The sequence below is a fragment of the Homo sapiens genome, chromosome 1 (genome assembly GCF_000001405.40).
Source record: "Homo sapiens chromosome 1, GRCh38.p14 Primary Assembly".
Classification (NCBI taxonomy): domain Eukaryota; kingdom Metazoa; phylum Chordata; class Mammalia; order Primates; family Hominidae; genus Homo; species Homo sapiens.
This window is the reverse complement of record NC_000001.11, coordinates 10,983,571-11,006,608: the sequence shown is the minus strand read 5'-3', so window position 1 is coordinate 11,006,608 and position 23,038 is coordinate 10,983,571. Positions and strand designations below refer to the sequence as shown.

Below are 23,038 nucleotides of genomic sequence, written 5' to 3'. Positions count from 1 at the left end.
GCCTCCTGAGTAGCTGGGACTACAGGCGCCTGCCACCACGCCCGGCTAATTTTTTTGTTTTATTTTTAGTAGAGACAGGGTTTCATCGTGTTAGCCAGGATGGTCTTCATCTCCTGACCTTGTGATCAGCCCGCCTCGGCCTCCCAAAGTGCCTTTGAGTAATTTTTCTCTCTGATCTAGGATCCAATCCAGGAACATTGTATTCCATCATTGTGGCTCTTTCAACTCCTTCAATCTAGAACACTTTCTCAGCCTTTCTTTGTCTTTCATGCCATTGGCACTTTTGAAGAGTTCAGGCTTGCTTTGTTTTTGGAATGTCCCTCAATTTGGGGTTGCCTGATGTTTCCTCATGATTTGATTCAGATTATAAGTGTTTGGCCGGGCGCAGTGGCTCACACCTGTAATCCCAGCACTTTGAGAGGCCGAGGCAGGCAGATCACAGGGTCAGGAGATCGAGACCATCCTGGCTAACACAGTGAAACCCCGTCTCTACTAAAAATACAAAAATTAGCTGGGCACGTGCAGTGGTAGGCGACTGTAATCCCAGCTACTCGGGAGCTGAGGCAGGAGAATCACTTGAACCCGCAAGTTAGAGGTTGCAGTGGGCCGAGATCGTGCCATTGCACTCCAGTCTGGGTGACAGAGTGAGACTCCGTTTCAAAAAAAAAAAAAAGAAAGAAAAGAAAGTACATTTGCAGGGCGCTGTGGCTCATGCCTGTAATCCCAGCACTTTGAGAGGCCGAGGTGGGCGGATTGCAGTTGGAGACCAGCCTGGACAACATAACGAGACCTGTCTCTACAAAAATTAGCCAGGTGTGGTGGCATGCACCTGTAGTTCCAGCTACTCAGGAGGCTGTGGTGCCAAGAGGTAGAGGTTGTAGTGAGCCAAGACTGCACTATTGCACTCCAGCCTGGGCAACAGAGTGAGACCCCATCTCCCCCAATTACCCACCAAAAAGAAAGTAAATTGCAGACATCACAGCATTTCACTCCTAAATTCTTCATCCTGCTTCTCCTAAGAACAAGAATATTGTCCTTCATAACCACAATGATAATCATAAGAGAAAATGAATAATTATTTCCTGCTATCATCTAATACCTGGTCCACATTCAAATTTCTACAATTGTTCCCCTCAAATGTCTTTTATAGCTGTTTTCTTTTTCTTTTCTTTCTTTCTTTCCTTTTCTTTTTTTTTTTTTTTTTGAAACAGGTCTCACTCTGTCACCAAGGCTGGAGTGCAGTGACACAATCCTGGCTCACTGCAGCCTCGACCTCCGGGACTCAGATGATCCTCCCACCTCAGTCTCCTGGATAGCTGGGGCTACAGGTGCATCCCACCACACCAGGATATTTTTTTTGTATTTTTTATAGAGATGAGGTTTCACCATGTTGCCCAGGCTGGTCTCAAACTCCTGGGGTCAAGTGATCTGCCCGCCTCGGCCTCCAAAAGTGCTGGGATTACAGGTGTGAGTCCCTGCGCCCAGCCTGTATTTTCTTAAAATAGGATCCAATTAAGCTTCATGCATTACATTTGCTTAGTATGTCCATTAATCTTTTTAAAATCTAGAATAATCTCCCTATACAAGATACTGACTTTTGGAAGAGCTCTGGTCAGGTAGTTTGTAGAATGTCGCACCTTCTGAATTCATCTGGTTGCTTCCCTGTTGTATTACTCAGCACACTCCTCTATTCCCTATTTTTCCTGCATACTGGAAGTTAGATCTAAAGACACGATCACATCCAGGTTAAACACAATGGCCACAACACTTCTTGGGCAAAGCCTTGAATATCCCAATGCTCCTTATCAAGAGCCACATAATGTCTGGCTGTTTCACTTTTAGTGATGCTAAATTTGATCTCTCAATTAAGACTGTGACCACTGGCCGGGTGCGGTGGCTCACGCCTGTAATCCCAGCACTTTGGGAGGCCGAGGTGGGTGGATCATGAGGTCAGGAGATCGAGACCATCCTGGTTAACACGGTGAAACCCTGTCTCTACTAAAAATACAAAAAATTAGCCAGGTGTGGTGGTGGGCGCCTGTAATCCCAGCTACTCGGGAGGCTGAGGCAGGAGAATGGCGTGAACCCGGGAGGTGGAGCTTGCAGTGAGCCGAGATCACGTCACTGCACTCCAGCCTGGGCGACAGAACGAGACTCCGTCTCAAAAAAAAAAAAAAAAAAAAGACTGTGACCACTAGATCTCTCCACGGAAAAGATGTATTTCCCCCCTTTGCAAAATTCCAGTAATCTCTAGATGATACATTGGCACAGGGCAAACATCCCATTTCACTACATCCTTTCACCTAATGGTTTAGCATCCACTGATGATCCTTGCCTTACTCTGTTATTTTATTGGGGGTTACAAAATGGAAAGTTTTATTTGCTTTTATTTTTTATTTTATTTATTTACTTATTTATTTTTGAGACGGGGTCTTGCTCTGTTGCCCAGGCTAGAGTGCAGTGGCACGATCTTGGCTCACTGCAACCTCTGCCTCCCAGGTTCAAGTGATTCTCCTGCCTCAGCCTCCCAAGTAGCTGGGACTACAGGCACCTGCCACTGCACCCAGCTAATTTTTGTATTTTTAGTAGAGATGGGGTTTCACCATCTTGGCCAGGCTGGTCTCAAACTCCTGACCTCGTGATCTACCCGCCTTGGCCTCTCAAAGTGCTGGGATTACAGGGGTGAGCCATCACGCCCAGTCTGTTTTTATTTTTATTTTTTTAGGGATAGGGTCTCACTCTGTCGCTCACCTTGGAGTGCAGTGGTGCAATCATGGCTTACCACAGCCTTGGCCTCCTGGGCTGAAGCGATCCTCCTGCCTCATCTTCCAGAGTAGCTGGGGCTACAAGTGCACCACCATGTCTGGCTAATTTTTTTTATTTTTAAAATTTTTTGTAGAGATGGGGTCTTCCTACGTTGCCCAGATTGGTCTCATGTTCTTGGCCCTAAGCGATCCTCCCGTCTCGGCCTCCCAATGTGCTGGGATTACTGGCATGAGTCAACTCTTCTCCGGTACGTCTATATTCTTTTGTAAAGAATTTTCCTTCATCACCTGGAGATGAACCACAGTTCCTCCTAACTGCTTAATCCTTTATCAATTTTCAGGATAGACTGACACAATAATCACCTCCAATAGTGACAAATTAATTGTATTTTTTTCTTGTTTAAAAATAGTCACGGCTGGGTGCAGTGGCTTAGGCCTATAATCCTAGCACTTTGGAAGCTGAGGCAGGTAGATTGCTAGAGCCCAGGAGTTCAAGACCAGCCTGTACAACATAGGGAGACCCCATCTCTACAGAAAATTTAAAAACTAGCCAGATGTGGTGGTGCACACCTGTAGTCCCAGCTACTTGGGAGGCTGAGGTGGGAGAATCAGTTGAGCCGGGAGGCGAAGGTTGCAGTGAGCCAAGATCATGCCACTGCACTCCAGCCTAGGAGACAGAGTGAGACCCTGTCTCAAAACTAATAATAATAATAATAATCACTATGAACTCTTGCATTTTTATTTATTTAGTGTTTCAAAATAGGTTATAGTCATTAATGTTTCTAATGATCACATTATTTTACTCAGGCTCTGTGGAAACCCTTTAAACTGACTCTAAGTCCATTGGATGTGTCTCTATTAGCCTTTGAGCACATTCTTGCCTTCTGGACCACCAAGATGTACCGGGCTTGTCTTATATTTTCCCTGCTGTATCCCTGGAATCAGCCATTCCTCAAAGGATCTATGGTTTTTTGTTTTGTTTTGTTTTGTTTTGTTTTGTTTTGTTTTGTTTTGTTTGAAACGAAGTCTCGCTCTGTCACCCAGGCTGGAGTGCAATGGTGTGATCTCAGCTCACTGCAACCTCCACCTCCCAGGTTCAAGTGATTCTCCTGCCTCAGCCTCCTGAGTAGCTGGGATTACAGGTACATGACACCACACCCGGCTAATTTTTGTATTTTTAGTAGAGACAGGGTTTCACCATGTTGGCCAGGCTGGTCTCAAATTCCTGATCACATGATCTGCCCACCTCGGCCTCCCAAAGTGCTGGGATTACAGGCGTGAGCCATCGTGCCCTGCCAATCTCTGGTTTCTTATAGTGGGAAAAACGATTTAGAAATCAGAATCAGGGCATTAGGTTGTTGTCAGAAGCATTTTTTTGTTTGTTTGTTTATTTTTTTGAGACGGAGTTTCGCTCTTGTCGCCTAGGCTGGAGTGCAATGGCGTGATCTCAGCTCACTGCAACCTCGGCCTCCCAGGTTCAAGCAATTATCCTGCCTCAGCTTCCCAAGTAGCTGGGATTATAGGCATGTGCCACCACACCCAGCTAATTTTTGTATTTTTAGTAGAGACGGGGTTTCACCATGTTGGTCAGGCTGGTTTCGAACTCCTGACCTCAGGTGACCCACCCACCTCAGCCTCCCAAAGTGCTGGGATTACAGGCATGAGCCACTGCGCCGGCCTTGTTTGTTCTTTGAGACAAGGTCTGGCTCTGTTGGTCAGGCTGGAGTGCAGTGGCCCAATCTTGGCTCACTATCACCTCTGCCTCATGGACTCAAGCCATCCTCTTACTTCAGCCTCCCTAGTAGCTGGAACTGCAGGCACACACCACCACACCCAGCTCTTTTTTTTTTTGTATTTTCAGTAGAGATGGGGTTTCACCATGTTTCCCAGCCTGGTGCTGAACTCATGAGCTCAAGCGATCTGACCACCTCAGCCTCCCAAAGTGCTGGGATTATAAGCATGAGCCACAGCACCCGGCCCACAAGTACTTTTGAAAGGTAAACTAATACTAAGGTAAGATATTTTTATTTTATCACGATTTACTTTCTTTTTTTTTTTTTTTTTGAGACGGAGTCTCACTCTGTCGCCCAGGCTGGAGTGCAGTGGCACAATCTCGGTTCACTGCAAGCTCCGCCTCCCAGGTTCACGCCATTCTCCTGCTTCAGCCTCCTGAGTAGCTGGGACTACAGGCACCCACCACCACGCCTGGCTAATTTTTTTGTATTTTTAGTAGAGACGGGGTTTCACCATGTTAGCCAGGATGGTCTCGATCTCCTGACCTCATGATCCAACCTCCTCGACCTCCCAAAGTGCTGGGATTGCAGGCGTGAGCCACTGCGCCTGGCTTACTTTCCTTTTAATTTAAGCATCTTAGCTGCCAAAATTAAGGTATGCCTCCCTTATTTGTTCTAGATCTTGGGTTTTTAAAACCATTTTTTGTAAAAAGCCAGTTAGTACATAAATACAAATAACAAAAAAACTGCAGTCTCTTGTTCTCCCCAGCCCCTTCCATATCCCTTATCAGAAGTAACCATTCTTTTAGTTGTTTCTTATGGATATACCTACATCTTTTAAAATAATAAATCTATCCTGCAATTAAAAAAAATTTTTTTGAGACAGGGTCTTGCTCTGTCACCCAGGCTAGAGTGCAGTGTCTCGATCTCAGCTCACTGCAACCTCTGCCTCCCGGGCTCAAGCCATCCTCCCACCTCAGCCTCCCCAGTAGCTGGGAATACAGACATGTGCTACCATGCCTGGCTAATTTTTGTATTTTTGCTAGAGATGGGGTTTTGCCATGTTTCTCAGGCTGGTCTCAAACTCCTGGGCTCAACCTTGGCCTCCCAAAGTGTTGGGGTTACAGGCATGAGACACCATGCCTGGCCTTATCCTGCAAAATTTTCATTTATTCAATTTAGAAAGTATCTACTGATTTCCTATTATGTCTAATGAGGGTTTTTTAGCTCACACTTCATTATCATTTCCTCCATCCTCTTAATATACTGATACCTAATATCACCATTTTTGGTTAAATACATATTCAATGTTTTCACTATTATGACTACATAAATTGTGTTCATGACTGAGACAAGTTTTATCTTTTCTTGTGCAACTTTACTTTTTCCTGGAGTTAATAATTGCCTTGCTTTTTCATTTGCTTTGTTCTCTTTGAACATCTAAATAATCATTTTATGCCCTCCAAAAGTTGTGTAAATGTCTTGAATAAGGTTTTCTTCATAGTCAAATCTGTCAGCTAGTTTGTGATTTTTTTGGGGGGGGACAGAGTCTTGCTCTGTTGCCCAAGCTGGAGTGCAGTGGCGTGATCTTGGCTCATTGCAACCTCCGCTTCCCAGGTTCAAGTGATTCTCCTGCCTCAGCCTCCCAAGTAGCTGGGATTACAGGTGTGCACCACCACACCTGACTAATTTTGTATTTTTTTAGTAGAGACGGGGTTTCACCCTGTTGGTCAGGCTGGTCTTGAACTCCTAACCTCAAGTGATCCACTCACCTTGGCCTCCCAAGGTGCTGAGATTACAGGTGAGAGCCACTGTGCCCAGCCAGATAGTTTGTAATTTTTATTTTTTTATTTCTTGGAGTCTTCATGCCTCCTTTCCTGGATTGCTTGCTGGAAATTGTATCAGTTGTCATCCTGGAGACTTCCTTACATGTCTGAAAATGGTCTTATTCCATTTACATGTCATTGGTAGTCCGGTTGCGTACAGAATTTTAGGTTGAAGGTCATTCATACTCAACACTTAGAAGATATTTTTCTGCTGGCGCCTAGCTTCTCTTATTGCTGTTAAGAAATCCATTGCATTCTTGGTCATTCACGTAATCTTCATTTTCTCTCTGGACTCTTTCATGATCTTACCGTATCATCCATTTTCTGAAATTCAAGATGGGCTGATCTGAAGGTAGTCAGTTATCTCAGTTGATCAGTTCAATTCTTTCCCCTTTTCTCACTACTGCACTTGACTAGTCTTAAAAAGAAAAAAAAAAGGGCTGGGCATGATGGCTCACACCTGTAATACCAGCACTTTGGGAGGCTAAGGTGGGTGGATCACCTGAGGTCAGGAGTTCGAGACCAGCCTGACCAACATGGTGAAACCCCATCTTTACTAAAAATACAAAATTAGCCAGGTGTGGTGGCACATACCTGTAATCCCAGCTACTTGGGAGGCTGAGGCAGGAGAATTGCATGAACCCAGGAGGTGGAGGTTGCAGTGAGCTGAGATTGCACCATTGCACTCCAGCCTGGGCAACAACAAGAGTGAAACTCTGTCTCAAAAAAAAAAAAAAAAAAGAATGAAATTCAAGATGATGACTTGGTCTTCCTGAGTATCTTTTTTCATTCATTGTTCTGGGCATATGGTGATCTTTTTGTTATAGAGATTTTTGTCCTTCAATTCTGGGAAAGTTTGTTGTATTATTTCTTTGACAGCTTTTTCCCCAATGATTCCTTGGTTCTCTCTTTCTGAAATTCCTGTTAGCTATTGACTTTCCTACAATGATGCATCATTTTTGAAAATCTTTTTTCTTTTGTTGTTACAATTTTAAAAATTCTACTTTCTGTGAAATTTCCCCAATTTTACCTTCAATATTTTTATTATTATTGTATTTATTTATTCATTCTTTTTTTTTTTTTTGAGATGTAGTCTTGCTCTGTCACCCAGGCTGGAGTGCAGTGGCACAATCTTGGCTCACTGCAACCTCTGCCTCCCGGGTTCAAGTGATTCTCCTGCCTCAGCCTCCTGAGTAGCTGCACTGCAGCTGCCCACCACCACGCCTGGCTAATTTTTGTGTTTGTAGTAGAGTCAGGGTTTCACCATGTTGGCCAGGCAGGTCTCAAACTCCTGGCCTCAGGTAATGCATCTGCATCAGCCTCCCAGAATGTTGAGATTACAGGCGTGAGCCACCGTGCCTGGCACACTGGGGTCTTCCTTTCACATTAGAGGCTCTCTTCTCTTTGTCCAAAATCCATAGCCCAACTCCTTGGACCTGTTGGAATATTTCACAGGAGATTGTTGTTTTGACTCCTTTTATTATTTCCCCTTGGGCAGAAATTGTGCGACCAAAGTGATAACATAATAATTTATTTGAGCATTTATATACCAGGCTCAGAGTTGGCAAATTTAATTCTTACCTCAACTCTATTTACCAAGTACTACTACTATTGACCTTCTCTGAGGAAACTGAGGCACAGAAAGGCCAAGTAACTTGGCCAGAGTCACATAGCCAGTCTGTGGCAAAGCTGAGGTCCTTGGTTCTAGAGCCCACGCTCCTAATCACCTCTAATCCATCTCCTTATTTGGAACCTGGGGGACAATTTGCTCTCTGTTCTTTATAGAAAACAACCACAACATTGTAACACCAGTTACTAAATGCCAGACACTGTTCTGAACACATTATCTGTATAGATTCCTTTAATCCCTAACGGGCCTATGAAGTAGGTACCATATTTAGTCCTATTTTACAAAGAACCTTCTAGAGGTTCAACTTACCCAAGATCACCAGATAGTGACAGCAGTGTCCGAATTTCAAATCTAGGCTGGGTGTGATGCCTCACGCCTGTAATACCAGTACTTTGGGAGGCCAAGGCAGGAGGATCGCTTGAGCCCAGGAGTTCTAGACCAGTCTGGGCAACATAGTAAGACCTCCATCTCTACAAAAAATTTAAAAATTAGCTGGGCGTCGTGGCATCTGCCTGTGATCCAAGCAACTCAGGAGGCTGAAGCAGGAGGATTGCTTGAGCCCAGGAGGTCAAGGCTGCAGTGAGCCATGATGGTGCCACCTCCAGCCTGGATGACAGTTCGAGACCCTGCCTTAAAAAAAATGAAAAAAGAATTTAAAATTTAGGTTTTCTGTCCCTGGAGATCTCACTTTCATTTTCCTTTCTGGGCCTTAGGAGCAGAGTGGAGTTTATTGCCCTCATCAGTTCATGGCCCACCACCCTCCTCAGCCTGGGCAAAGCCTGGCTTATTTTATTTCATTATTTTCTTTTTGTTTTTGAGACAGAGTTTCTCTGTCACCCAAGTTGGAGTGCAGTGGCGCTATCTCGGCTCACTGCAAACTCCACCTCCTGGGTTCAGGTGATTCTCCCACCTCAGCCTCCCAAGTAGCTGGGATCGCAGGCACGCACCACCATGCCTGGCTAATTTTTGTATTTTTTGTAGAGACAGAGTTTCACCATGTTGCTCAGGCTGGTCTCTAACTCCTGGGCTCAAGCAATCCTCCTGCCTTGGCCTCCCAAAGTGCTGGGATTCTAGGCATGTGCCACTGCGCCTGACCTATTTCATTATTTTCTCCAGTTACTCCCAACCCCTAGTCCCTCTCCCCTCCCCCTCCTAGGCCCTCACTAGGGTGTTCATCTGTCTTTGAATCTGCATGTGTCTGTATAAAGCATGCACAGTTGTTCTGTGGGTGTACTTAGCAATAACCAGACATTTATTCAGCACCTACCATGGTGCCTGCCAGGTGTTACCCTAGATCAGGGAGCAACAAACCACAGCCGATTGCCAGCTTTTATACAACCTGCAAGCCAAAAATGGTATATATATATATATATATATATATATATATATATATATATATTTCTTTTTCGAGATGGAGTCTTGCCCTGTTGCCCAGGCTGGAGTGCAATGGTGCCATCTCAGCTTACTGCAACCTTCGCCTCCTGGGTTCAAGTGATTCTCCTGCCTCAGCCTCCCCAGTAGCTGGGACTACAGGTGCCTGCCACCACGCCCAGCTAATTTTTTTTTTGTATTTTTAGTAGAGACGGAGTTTCACCATGTTTGCCAGGCTGGTCTTGAACTCCTGACCTCAAGTGATCCGCCTGCCTCGGCCTTCCAAGGTGTTGGGATTACAAGCGAGAGCCAATGCACCCGGCCAGTTTTTACATCTTTAAATGGCTGAAAAAAAAATCAAAAGAATACAGTTTTGTGACACCTGAAAATTATATGAAATTCAAGTATCAGTATCCATGTCTAAGTTTTACTGGTGCACAGCCACACTCATTTTTTTGTTTGTTTTTTTTTGAGATGGAGTCTTGCTCTGTTGCCCAGGCTGGAGTGCAGTGGTGTGATCTCAGCTCACTGCAACCTCCGCCTGCTGGGTTCAAGCGATTCTCCTTCCTCAGCCTCCTGAGTAGCTGGGATTACAGGTGTGCGCCACCACGCCTGGCTAATTTTTGTATTTTTAGTAGAGACGGGGTTTCTCCATGTTGGCCAGGCTGGTCTCAAACTCCTGACCTCAGATGATCCACCTGCCTTGGCCTCCCAAAGTGCTAGGATTACAGATGTGAGCCACCGCACTGGGCCCACGCTCATTTTTTATGTACATCTCTGGTTGCTTTCACGCCACATTGGCAGAATTGAGTAGTTACAGCAGAGATTGTATGGCACAAAGCTGAAAATACTGACTGTCTGGCCCTTTACAGAAAAAAGAAAATTACTGACCAGTGCTCTAGAGGTTGGGGATACTCTAGGGAACGTATGTGTTTAATTTATATAAATAGAATGATGGTTTAACTGGGGCCGGGGAGCAAATTCAATCTGGGATTTTTGAGAGTGACAGAGAGGCTATTAATTACTGGGACAACTTGGGGTCAACTATCTGTCTCTGGAAAGCAAGGATGCATGATTATCTCTCTCTAACCCTCATTCTGCCCAAGATCACTGGCTTTGCTTGTTGTATTTTAAGAATGTGTTGGCTGGGCATGGTGGCTCAACCCTGTAATCCCAGCACTCTGGGAGGCTGAGGAGGGCGGATCACCTGAGGTCAGGAGTTCGAGATCAGCCTGGCCAAGGTGATGAAACCCTGTCTCTACTAAAAATGCAAAAAATTAGCCAGGCATGGTGGTGGGAGCCTGACAGAGCGAGACTCCGACTCAAAAAAAAAAGAATTTGTTGGCTAGGCATGGTGGCTCACACTTGTAATCCCAGCACTTTGGGAGGCCAAGGTGGGATGACTGCTTGGCCTCAGGAGTTGGAGGCCAGCCTGGGCAACATAGCAAAACCTAATCTCTACTAAAAATACAAAAATTGGCTGGGCGTGGTGGCTCATGCTTATAATTCTAGCACATTGGGAGGCTGAGACAGGTGGATCACCTGAGGCCAGCAGTTCGAGACCAGCCTGGCCAACATGGTGAAACCCCAACTCTACTGAAAATACAAAAATTAGCTGGGCATGGTGGCACACACCTGTAATCCCAGCTACTTGGGAGGCTGAGGCAGGAGAATCGCTTGAACTGGGGAGGTGGAGGTTGCAGTGAGCTGAGATTGTGCCACTGCACTCCAGCCTGAGTGACAGAGCAAGACTCTGTTTTAAAGAAACAAAACAAAACAAAACAAAAATTAGCCAGGTGTAGCATTGTGAGCCTGCAGTCCCAGCTACCTTGGAGGCTGAGGTAGGAGCTTTACTTAAACCCAGAAAGTTAAGGCTTCAGTGAGCTTTGACAGTGTCACTGTATTTCAGCCTGGGCGACAGAGCAAGATGCTGTCTCAGAAAAAAAAAAAACAAAATTTCTCTGGGTTGTAGCCCTAGAATAGGACTCAGCAAACTATAGCCCATAGGCCAAATCTGGGGCATGGCAGTTTCTGTACAGTCAGCAAGCTAATTTTTAAATGACTGGGGTAAAAAATCAAAAGAAGAATCATATTTTGTGACACATTAAAATGACATGGAGGCCTGGCATGGTGGCTCACACTTGTAATCCCAGAACTTTGGGAGGCCAAGGTGGTAGGATCACTTGAAGCCAGGAATTCAAGACCAGCTTGGCCAACATGGTGAAACCCGTCTCTATTAAAAATACAAAAAATTAGCCGGGCATGGTGGTGTGCACCTATAATCCCAGCTACTCAGGAGGCTGAGATACAAGAATCGCTTGAATCCGGGAGGTGGAGGTTGCAGTGAGCCAAGATTGCACCACTGCACTCCAGCCTGGGCAACAGAGTAGAGTCTGTTTCAGAAAAAAAAAGAAAAAGAAAATGACATAGAGTTCACATTTCAATGTCCATAAAGGTTTTGGAACAGCCCCACCCACTCATTTGCATATTATCTAAGACTGTAGCAGTGTCTTTGTGGTCTGCAAAGCCTAAAATATTTCCTATCTGGCAGGGTGCCGTGGCTCACGCCTGTAATCCCAGCACTTTGGGAGGCCAAGGCGGGCGCATCACGAGGTCAGTAGATTGAGACCAGCCTGGCCAACATGGTGAAACCCCGTCTCTACTAAAAATACAAAAATTAGCTGGGCATGGTGGCGTGTGCCTGTAATCCCAGCTACTTGGGAGGCTGAGGCATGAGAATAGCTTGAACCAGGGAGTCGGAGGTTGCAGAGAGTTGGAGGTTGCACTGCACTCCAGCCTGGCGACAGAGCGAGACTCCGTCTCAAAATAAATAAATAAATAAAAATAAAATAACGATTTTTTTTAAAGCAGATTGGTCATTTTATTTTATTTATTTATTTTTCTGAGACAGGGTCTCCCTCTGTCACCCAGGCTGGAGTGCAGCGGTGTGATCACAGCTCACTGTAGCTTTGACCTTTCCGGGCTCAGGTTATCCTCCCACTTCAGCCTCCCAGGTAGCTGAAACTACAGGTGTACACCACCATACCTGGCTAATTTTTGTAATTTTTGTAGCGACAGGGTTTTCCCAGGCTGGTCTTCCTGTTTTCAACAGGTTTTCCTGTTGCCCAGGCTGGTCTGGAACACGTGGGCTCAAGAGATCCACCTGCCTTGGCCTCCCAAAGTGCTGGGATTACAGGCGTGAGCCACCACACCTGGCCTATTTTTTTTTTTTTTTTTGAAACAGACGCTCGTTCTGTCACACAGGCTGGAATGCAGTGGCACAGTCTCGGCTCACTGCAACCTCCACCTCCTAGGTTCAAGTGATTCTCATGCCTCAGCCTCCCGAGTAGTTGGGACCACAATAGTCCCCCCACAACACCCAGCTAATTTTTGTATTCTTTTTTCTTTTGAGATGGAGTCTGGCTCCCGTGGTGCAGGCTGGAGTGCAGTGGCGCGATCTCAGCTCACCGTAACCTCCACCACTTGGGTTCAAGTGATTCTCCTTCCTCAGCTTCCTGAGTAGCTGGGATTACAGGCGTGCGCCACCACGCCCGGCTAATTTTTGTATTTTTTAGTAGAGACGAGGTTTCACCTTGTTGGCCAGGCTGGTCTCGAACTCCTGACCTCAGGTGATCCACCCGCCTCAGCCTCCCAAAGTGCTAGCATTACAGGTGTGAGCCACTGCGCCTGGCCTAATTTTTGTATTTTTAGTAGAGACAGGGTTTCACCATGTTGGCCAGGCTGGTCTCAAACTCCTGACCTCAGGTGATCTGCCTGCCTCGGCCTCTCAAAGTGCTATCTATTTTTTAATGGAAAAGTTCACCAATCCTGGCGCCAGGTGATTGCTTCTAACTGCTGCAGTGTATGGGATAGTGTATAGTACGACTCTACCATAGTTTACTTGCTGGTTCCCCTGAAGATTGTCCCTGTGCTCAGTTATTCTAGGCACTGAGGATACAGCAAAGGAGCCGAGAAAAGTCCTTTCCCTCTGGGAGCTTATAGTGGCCGGTGCTGGGTTCAGATCCCTTATTCAGCATAGACTCCATTCCCAGCACTTGATGTCAATGGTTGTTTGAATCCTCACAATAATTTTATAACATTGTCTCCATTTTTCAGGTAAGGAAACCAGCTCAGAAGCGCCAGGATGGGCTTTGAGATCCACCCCAGACTGGCTATGGCACCTGGGCTCTTAGCTCCTTGCTCTCCTGCCTGTCTGCACAGCTTGGCCAATCCTCCACCTGTCTCATTCCCACCTTCCTAATTTTTGCCTTTCTGATGAGTGTAAAATGCTCTCTCATAACGCCATCTTTGTTTGCATTTCTCCGATATCTCCCGAGTTTGAATATTTCTGGAATCTGAGCTCTTAACTGTTGATTTGCTTCTTTAAATCAAACTAGTATGTTTTCTAAACAAGGTGAAAAAACATTTTAACAAAGAAGTTTGCAGACATTTCCATACGTGCCTCCCTCTGCTGCAACTTGAGGCACATGTTCTAGAAAAGAGACACATAGGTCTTGGTGTAACTTGCCTCATCCAGACCACGTGGGGCCAAGTTCAAGTCACCCACCAGACTTGAGACTTCTCCCAAATCACTGACAGCTCTAGGGCTCTATTTCCTCCTCTGTAAAATGGGGGTAGTAAGAGTATGGACCTCATATCATAGGATTATGGGGACAATTAAAGTGCTTGGTTCAGTCAGACCCTGGCAGCAGCCACAGCAGCTCTCCTCTTCTCTGGCTCTCCTTGCCATCTCCTTTTCTTTTCCTTCCCCTCCCCTCCCCTCCCCACGAAGTCTCACTCTGTTGCACAGGCTGGAGTCCAGTGGTGCAATCTTGGCTCACTGCAACCTCAGCCTCCCAGGTTCAACTGATTCTTATGCCTCAGACTCCTGAGTAGCTGAGATTACAAACATGTTCCACCACATCAGGCTAATTTTTGTATTTTTAGTAGAGATGGGGTTTCGCCATGTTGTCCAGGCTGGTCTCAAACTCCTGACCTCAAGTGATCCACCCACCTCTGCCTCCCTTAAAGTGCTGGGATTACAGGCATGAGCCATTATGCCTGGCTTGGCTTGGCTTGGCTTTGCTTTCCTTCCTTCCTTCCTTCCTTCCTTCCTTCCTTCCTTCCTTCCTTCCTTCCTTCCTTCCTTCCTTTTCTTTCTTTGCTGTTGTTTTCAAGACATAGGCTCACTCTGTTGCTCAGACTGGAGTGCAGTGGTGTGAACATGGCTCACTGCAACCTCGATCTCCTGGACTCAAGCAATCCTCCCCTCTCAGCCTCCCAAGTTGCTGGGCCTACAGTTACATGCCACCATGCCAGACTAATTTTTTTTTTAAATTTTTTGTAGAGACCAGGTCTTGCCATATTGCCTGGGCTGGTCTCAAACTTCTGGGCTCAAGCAATCCTCCTGCCTTGGCCTCCCAAACCTGGGATTACAGACGTGAGCCACAGCACCTGGCTGCTATCTCCTTTTCATTTCTGAAAACATGGCCTCTGGTGTGGCTATCTCTGATGGTGTCATCAAGGTGTTCACTGACATGACAGTGGGCAAATCTTCGACGCCAGAGGAGGTGAAGAAGCGCAAGAAAATGGTGCTGCTCTTCTGCCTGAGTGAGGGTGAGAAGAACATCGCCCTGGAGGAGGGCGAGGAGACCCTGGTGGATGACATGGGCTGGACCGTTGACAACCCCTACACCACCTTTGCCAAGATGCTGCCAGACAAAGACTGCTGCTGTGTCCTCTGAGGTGACGCAACCTATGGGTCCAAGGAGAGCAAGGAGGACCTGGTATTTATCTTCTGGGCCCCTGAGTCTGTACCCCTTAAGGGCAAAATGATCTATGCCAGCTCTAAGGATGCCATCAAGAAGCTGACAGGGGCCGGACCTGGTGGCTCATGCCTGTAATCCCAGCACTTTGAGAGGCCAAGGCAGGTGGATCACTTGAGGTCAGGAGTTCAAGACCAGCCTGGCCAACATGGTGAAACCCCATCTGTACTAGAAATACAAAAACTAGCTGGGTGTGATGACACGTGCTGTAATCCTAGCTACTCGGGAGGCTGAGGCAGGAGAATCGCTTGAACCCAGGAGGCAGAGGTTGCAGTGAGCAGCAGAGATCACACCACTGCACTCCAGCCTGGGCAACAGAATGAGACTCCATCTCAAAAAAAAAAAAAAAACAAAAAAAAACAAAAAGAAGCTGACAGGGATCAAGCATGAACAAGCAAACTGCTACAAGAGGTCAAGGACCATGGCAGACCGGGCGAGAAGCTGGGAGCGGCGCTGTCATCTCCCTGGAGGGCACGCCTTGTGAGTCCCCTACAGCCCCATGCCTGGAACATCTGGCAGCCCCAGACCTGCCCTTGGGGGTTGCAGGCTGCCCCCTTCCTGCCAAACCTGAAGTGCTGGGGGGATCCCAGCATGGGGAAGGCAATGCCTTCCAAAGAGCCTGCCGCCCCAGGGCCTTCCCAGCACCTGGATTTTCTTCCTCCCTCCATTCCTGATGTTTCTGGCCTTCCCAAACCACTTTTTTTTTTATTTTAAATTTTGAGACAGAGTCTAACTCTGTTGCCCCGGCTGGAGTGCAGTGGTGCAATCACAGCTCACTGCAGCCTTGACCTCCCTGCCTCAAGCAATCCTCCCACCTCTGCCTCTGAAGTAGCTGAGACTACAGGTGCGTGTCACCACACCTGGCTAATTTTTATACTTTTTGTAGAGACAGGGTTTTTCTCTGTTGCCCGGGCTGGTCCAACTCCTGAGCTGAAGTGATCCTCCCACTTCAACCTCCCAATGTGCTGGGATTATAGACATGAGCCACTGCATCCAGCCCCAAACCAATTTTGATCTGTTTCCTCTTGGGTTGAAGCAGACTAAATTGTCCCCAGGTACCCCAGTTTGGGGGAGGGGCTGTATTTTTTTTTTAACAACACCGCTACTACCCGTGCTCCCAACTCCTAACCACAATAGTAACTTGATACTGGTCTGTGTATAAATGGAATGTTGTGAGATGGTCCCTCCCCTTGCTGGCTGGTCCCTCTCCCTTTTCCCCTGGTCATGGCCACTCATGGAAGTAGGACCAGTAAGGGACTGATATGGTTTGGCTGTGTCCCCACCCAAATCTCATCTTGAATTCCCATGTGTTGTGGGAGGGACCTGGTGGGAGGTAATTGAATCGTGGGGGCAGGTCTTCCCATGCTGTTCTCGTGATAGTAAGTCTCACGAGATCTGATGGTTTTAAAAAGGCGAGTTTCCCTGCAGTTTCCCTGCAGACAAGCTCTCTTCTCTTGTCTGCCACCATATGAGACATGCCTTTCACCTTCCACTGTGATTGTGAGGCCTCCCCAGCCATGTGGAACTGTAAGTCCATTAAACCTCTTTCTTTTGTAAGTTGCACGGTCTTGGGTATATCTTTATTAGCAGCCTGAAAGCGGACTAATACAGGGACTTTTGATAAAAAATTAAAGAGATAATAATAAAAATACAAAAATAATTTTATTTATTTATTTATCTATCTATTTTTGAGACAGAGTTTCACTCTTGTTGCCCAGGCTGGAATACAGTGGCATGATCTTGGCTTGCTGCAACCTCCACCTGCTGGGTTCAAGTGATTCTCCTGCCTCACCCTCCCAAGTAGCTGGGACTACAGGCACCTGCCACCACACCTGGCTAATTTTTTTTGGATTTTTAGTAGAGACGGGGTTTCACCATGTTGGCCAGGCTGGTCTCGAACTCCTAACCTCAGATGATCCACCCACCTCGGCCTCCCAAAATGCTGGGATTACAGGTGTAAGCCACTGCACCTGGCCATAAATAAGTTTTTTTTTTTTTATGTGCTTGGCACATCAAAAGTTCTCAGTCAATATTAGCTACCATTATTTACCCATCAGCACTCATGAGAAAGAGAAAAAGAATCATTACATGGTGATGTCAGAGAGCTTCCGTGTTTTCCAGAGGATCTCCCATGACCTATGAGTGATCTCAGTACAGGGGGACATTTTGCTAGACTACAGGATTTACAAGGCCCAGAAGTTTCTCTCGGGAGTGAAGTATGTGACTGTCACTCTGACTCCATCCAGGGTTTAGGAATCCCTGCTCTCTTGCAGCTGTCTGGTGAGAGTGAGCTAGTTGCATGTTCATAGATGGAGGCGGGGGTGCATACTGAGGCGCACGTTCCCCACTGTTCCAGATCTGCAGGCTCACGTACATTGTTGGGGGGCACAAAGGAGTCCTACTGCCACCCTCTAGTGTTCAGGGGTCCCCTTGGGTCTCACAGTTGCCCTGGGGTCCACATTTAGGGGCTTCAACAGAGGCAGAGGGAAGACCCAGACATGGTGGGAGCTGCCCAAGGAATGGGAGTAGAGAGAGGGCTGGAACTTCCTCTGCAAACACTGGTCCATCCCCTGGGTTTCCGTTTTGGGATGTGAGGTATCTTCATTCCCTTCACAATGCTCACTGCAACCTCCGCCTCCTGGGTTCGAGCGATTCTCCTGCCTCAGCCTCCCGAGTAGCTGGGATTACAGGCGTGTGCTACCATGCCCAGCTAATTTTTGTGTTTTTAATAGAGACGGGGTTTCACCATGTTGGCCAGGGTGGTCTGGAACTCCTGACCTCAGGTGATCCACCTGCCTCGGCCTCCTAAAATGCTGGGATTACAGGTGTGAGCCACCACGCCTGGCTGTAAGCACTTTTTTCTTTGACATCAAATGGCAGCAGGTTGGGTCAGTGCCTTAATTCAAAAGTACTGAGAAATATCTGGAGATATCTGGAGATCTCTGTAACAATTCTCGTGTGATAGGAAAATATCTGGAATTTCTGTTGGGGACAGAGTCATAAAGTCATAACAATGTGATGGCTTGTTGACTATGTTCATAATGGAAACGCTAAATTTCAAGTAGAAGTTATTGAAAATAAAGATGTAATTTCCACCCCCTCATCCAAGTTCAAGCACCCCATGAATTCTGTGCGTGTATCTTTGAGGGTGGACCCCAGGTAAGAACTTCTGCATGAGATGCTCAAGTCAAGCACTCAGCACCCTGCTGACTCAGAGGAGGCCAGCCCATTAATGGCAGTTCTTAGCAGCAGAAAAGTTGGCTGCTCTCCTTCCAGGGCAAGGATGGGCAAAGATTTGCATTCTGTTCAGGAGAGGGGAACTTCCCTTCTAGAATGGTTTAAATCTTTCCTTCCTCCCTTCTTTCCTTCCTTCCTTCCTTCCTTCCTTCCTTCCTTCCTTCCTCTCTCTCTCTCTCTCTTTCTCTCTCTCTCTCCCTCTCTGTCTCTTTCTCTCTTTCTCTCTTTACTTTTCTTTTTTTTGACGGGTCTCACTCTGTTGCTCAGGCTGGATTACAGTGGTTTGATCATGGCTCACTGTAGACTTAACCTCACAGGCTCAAGTGATCCTCCTGCCTCAGCTTCCCAAGTAGCTGGGACTACAGCCACCCTGCCCGTTTATTTATTGTTTATTGCTTTTTTGAGACAGGATCTTGCTCTGCTGCCCAGGCTGGAGTGCAGTGGTATGATCATGGCTCACTGCAGCCTCAACCTCCTGGGATCAAGTGATCCTCCTGCCTCAGCCACATCAGCCTCTCCAATAGCTGGGACCATAGGCAAGTACTACCATGCTTGGTTAGTTTTTTTTTTTTTTTTGTAGGGACAGAGGTCTCACTTTATCGCCCAGGCTGCTCTTGAACTACTAGGCTCAACAAATCCTGCTGCGATTACAGGTGTGAGCCATCGTGCCCGGCCTGAATCATGCTGCTTCTTTCTTTCTTTCTTTCTTTCTTTCTTTCTTTCTTTCTTTCTTTCTTTCTTTCTTTCTTTCTTTCTTTCTTCCTTCCTTCCTTCCTTCCTTCCTTCCTTCCTTCCTTCCTTTCTTTCTTTCTTTCTTTTCTTTCTTTCTCTTTCTTTCTTTCCTTTCTTTCTTTCTTTCTTTCTCTTTCTCTTTCTCTCTTTCTCTCTTTCTTTCTCTCTTTCTTTCTTTCTTTTTTTTCAGACAGGGTCTCTTGCTCTGTCGCCCAGGCTGGAGTGCAGTGGCACAATCTCGGCTCAATGCAACCTCCGCCTCCCTGGTTCAAGCGATTCTTGCACCTCAGCCTCCCAAGTAGCTGGAATTACAGGCGCCCGCCACCATGTCTGGCTAATTTTTGTGTTTTTAGTAGAGGTGGGGTTTCTCCATGTTGGCCAGGCTGGTCTCAAACTCCCGACCTCAGGTGATCCACCTGCTGTGGCCTCCCAAAGTGCTGGGATTACAGGCGTGAGCCACCGCGCCCGGTCTCATGATTCTAATAGAGCAAAAAAGACCGTGTTTCACCAACAGGCTGCATTGCCCATTCACCTTCTGCCTCTCAGGCAACCAAGTATCTAGTTATTTTGTGTGTTTGTAACTGACTGATCAGGAGGAACTTCAGCAAGCCTGGTAATAGTTTGGTTAAATGTTGGTTTCCTCCTCATAAAAGTGGTAAGTAATGGTGCCAGATCTCAGCAAGATGGACATCCTGAAAAGGCCTGGGAAGCTTGGCAGTTGGAATCAATATGTATATTTTTAGTAATCGTTAACCTCTAAGTATCAAAGGAGACCAGTGAGTGGGTCAGTGGTTTCTGCTTTTGAAAAACCAGCTCAGTGGGTATTTGCAAGAGAAGGAAGGTGTTAATAAGAAAACCATGGGGAAAACCGTGCTGGGGCTGACTTGGCCAATTCTCACGGCTTCCAACTATTGCATAAAAGCTACTCTTGACCGGGCGCGGTGGCTCACGCCTGTAATCCCAGCACTTTGGGAGGCTGAGACGGGTGGATCACGAGGTCAGGAGATCAAGACCATCCTGGCTAACACGGTGAAACACCGACTCTACTAAAAACACACACAAAAAAATGAGCCAGGCTTGATGACGCACGCCTGTGGTCCCAGCTACTCAGGAGGCTGAGGCAGGAGAATCACTTAAACCCGGGAGGCAGAGGTTGCAGTGAGCTGAGATTGCATCACTGCACTCCAGCCTGGGTGACAGAGCGAGACTGTCTCAAAAAAAAAAAAAAAAGAAAGCTATTTTGAAAATGTGATTTTCCCAAATGGAGAAATGAAATTTGAGCTCCACTGGAAAGACCCCAATGAAATTGCTTTCTCTAAAAATATCTAAGACGGGAGCCCCTACTGCGTGTGTGTGTGTGCGCGCGCATTTCTAGGAGTGTGTGGGGCATATGCTAAGAGTTTTGTATAGGGTTGTGTGTGTAGGTGGGTTTCAGGGTGTGTGTGTAGAGATGTCTGTGGCTATGTTTATAGGTGTGTGCGTGTGTGTGTAGGAGGAATGGGGTTTAGGGTATCAGATTAGGAAAGAAAACCTGTTTTTCAATTCCTGTTTCTTCTTCTCTTTTTAAGATTTAAACAACAGCTCCAGGGTGGTCCTTGCAGGTTCTCTGAGTGAGCTGTGTACCAGTGATGTTTGCCCTGGCTTTGGCGTTTCTGTTTGAGGCCTTATGAAGTGGGCCAGGGCATCTGGGCCTCCTCCAGGGCCCGTGAGGGTTTCACCAGCTGTGTGTTCTGATCCTGCCTGCTTCTGTTTGGTGTGATGAGGGCCTTTCACCTGAGCGTGAACAGATCCTGGTGACAACCAGCTTCCATGCACCACTCTGGGTCTCCACTTCCAACTCCATGTCTTCTTAGGCGGCTCATGATAAATCCCGAGCAATTTGGGATTAAAGGAAAAGTTGGTCAACAAAAAGATGAGTTAAAAAGAGAAACAGGGCTGGGTGTGGTGGCTCACGCTTGTAATCCCAGCACTTTGGGAGGCTGAGGCGGGTGGATCTCGAGGTCAGGAATTTAAGTTCAGCCTGGCCAAGATGGTGAAACCCCGCCTCTACTAAAAATACAAAAAATTAGCCAGGCGTGGTGGCAGGTGCCTGTAATCCCAGCTACTCGGGAGGATGAGGCAGAGAATTGCTTGAACCTGGGAGGTGGAGGTTGCAGTGAGCAGAGATCGTGCCACTGCACTCCAGCCTGGGTGACAGAGTGAAACTCCGTCTCAAAAAAAGAAAAGAAAAAGAGAAACAGGCTGGGTGCAGTGGCTCACACCTGTAATCTCAGCACTCTGGAAGCCTGAGGCAGGAGAATCACTTGAGCCTAGAAGTTTGAGACCAGCCTGGACAACGTAGTGGTATCTTTCGTACGGACCCCATCTCAGAGACCTCTGGTCTCTGTCTCTTGTTTGTTTGTTTTTTGAGATAGGGTCTTGCTCTGTCGCCCGGGCTGGAGTGCAGTGGTGTGATCTCAGCTCACTGCAACCTCTGCCTCCTGGGTTCAAGTGATTCTCGTGCCTCAACCTCCCGAGTAGCTAGAATGAGTGATATGCGCCATGATGCCTGGCTAATTTTTGTATTTTTAGTAGAGATGGGGTTTCACCATGTTGGCCAGGCTGGCCTCAAACTCCTGACCTCAAGTGATCTGCCCACCTCAGCCTCCCAATGTGCTGGGATTACAGGCGTGAGCCACCGTGGCTGTTCCCTCTGGTCTCTTTTGTCTCTAGAAAAAATTTAAAAATCATCCAAGCATGGTGGTGTGTGCCTGTATTCTCAGTTACTCAGGAGGCTGAAACAGGAGGATTGCTTGAACCCAGGAGGTCGAGGCTGCAGTGAACCGTGATTGCACCATTGCACTCATGCCTGGGTGACAGAGTAGGACCCTGTCTCAAAGAAAAAAAAAAAAGCCAAATCCCAGATATGTGGGAATGTGACCTTATTTAGAAATAGGGTCTTTGCTGATGCAATCAAGTTAAGTGAGGTCATACTGGATTAGGCTGGCCCTTAATCCAGTAATTAGAGTCTTTATAAGAAGAGGAAAATTGGGGCCGGGCGTGGTGGCTCAGGCCTGTAATCCCAGCACTTAGTGCCCCTGTACTCCAGCCCGGTGACAGAGTGAGACTCTCTCTCAAAAAAAAAAAAAAGAAAAAGAAAAATGTGGACAGAGACACCCAGGAAGAATACCATATGCTGGTGACGGAGGCAGAGATGGGAGTGATGCAGCTACAAGCCCAGGACACCCAGGACTGCCACCAGCCACTAGAAGCTAGGAAGAGGCAGGGAACGACCCTCCCCTGGGATCTTTAGAGAGATCGTGGCCCTGCTGACACCTGGATTTTGGACTTCTGGCCTCTAAACCTGGGAGATAATTAGTTTCTGGTTTTTTTTTTTTTTTTTGAGATGGAGTTTCGCTCATCACCCAGGCTAGAATGCAGTGGCGCCATCTTGGATCACTTGCAACCTCCGCCTCCTGGGTTCAAGCGATTCTCCTGCCTCAGCCTCCTGAGTAGCTGGGATTACAGGCGTGTGCCATCATGCCCGGCTAATTTTTGTAATTTTAGTAGAGATGGGGTTTCGCCATATTGGCCAGGCTGGTCTCGAACTCCTGACCTCAGGTGATCTGCCAACCTCAGCCTCCTAAAATGTTGGGATTACAGGCTCTCTTTCTCTCTCTCCCTCTCTGTCTCTCTTCCTGAGATACAATCTTGCTCTGTTGCCCAGGCTGGAGTGAGCCACTGTGCCTGGCTTCCTCGACTTTCAATAATGGCAAGTATTTGGGGCGGGGGGAGGAAGGGATAAACACAGATAAAATGGAATAGTTAAAATCAAGACTTTTTTTTTTTTTCACTTGCAAAGGGTATTAGGAACCATCTAGTCCTAAATCCTCATTTTGCAGGGATATTTGTTTGCAAGGGCTGCCACGACAGAGTACCA

The 23,038-nt window shown here is 46.9% G+C and overlaps 1 pseudogene; it reads left to right on the top strand.

The window, feature by feature from the left end:
- On the top strand, positions 14,780-16,799 carry CFL1P6 (cofilin 1 pseudogene 6; annotated as a pseudogene).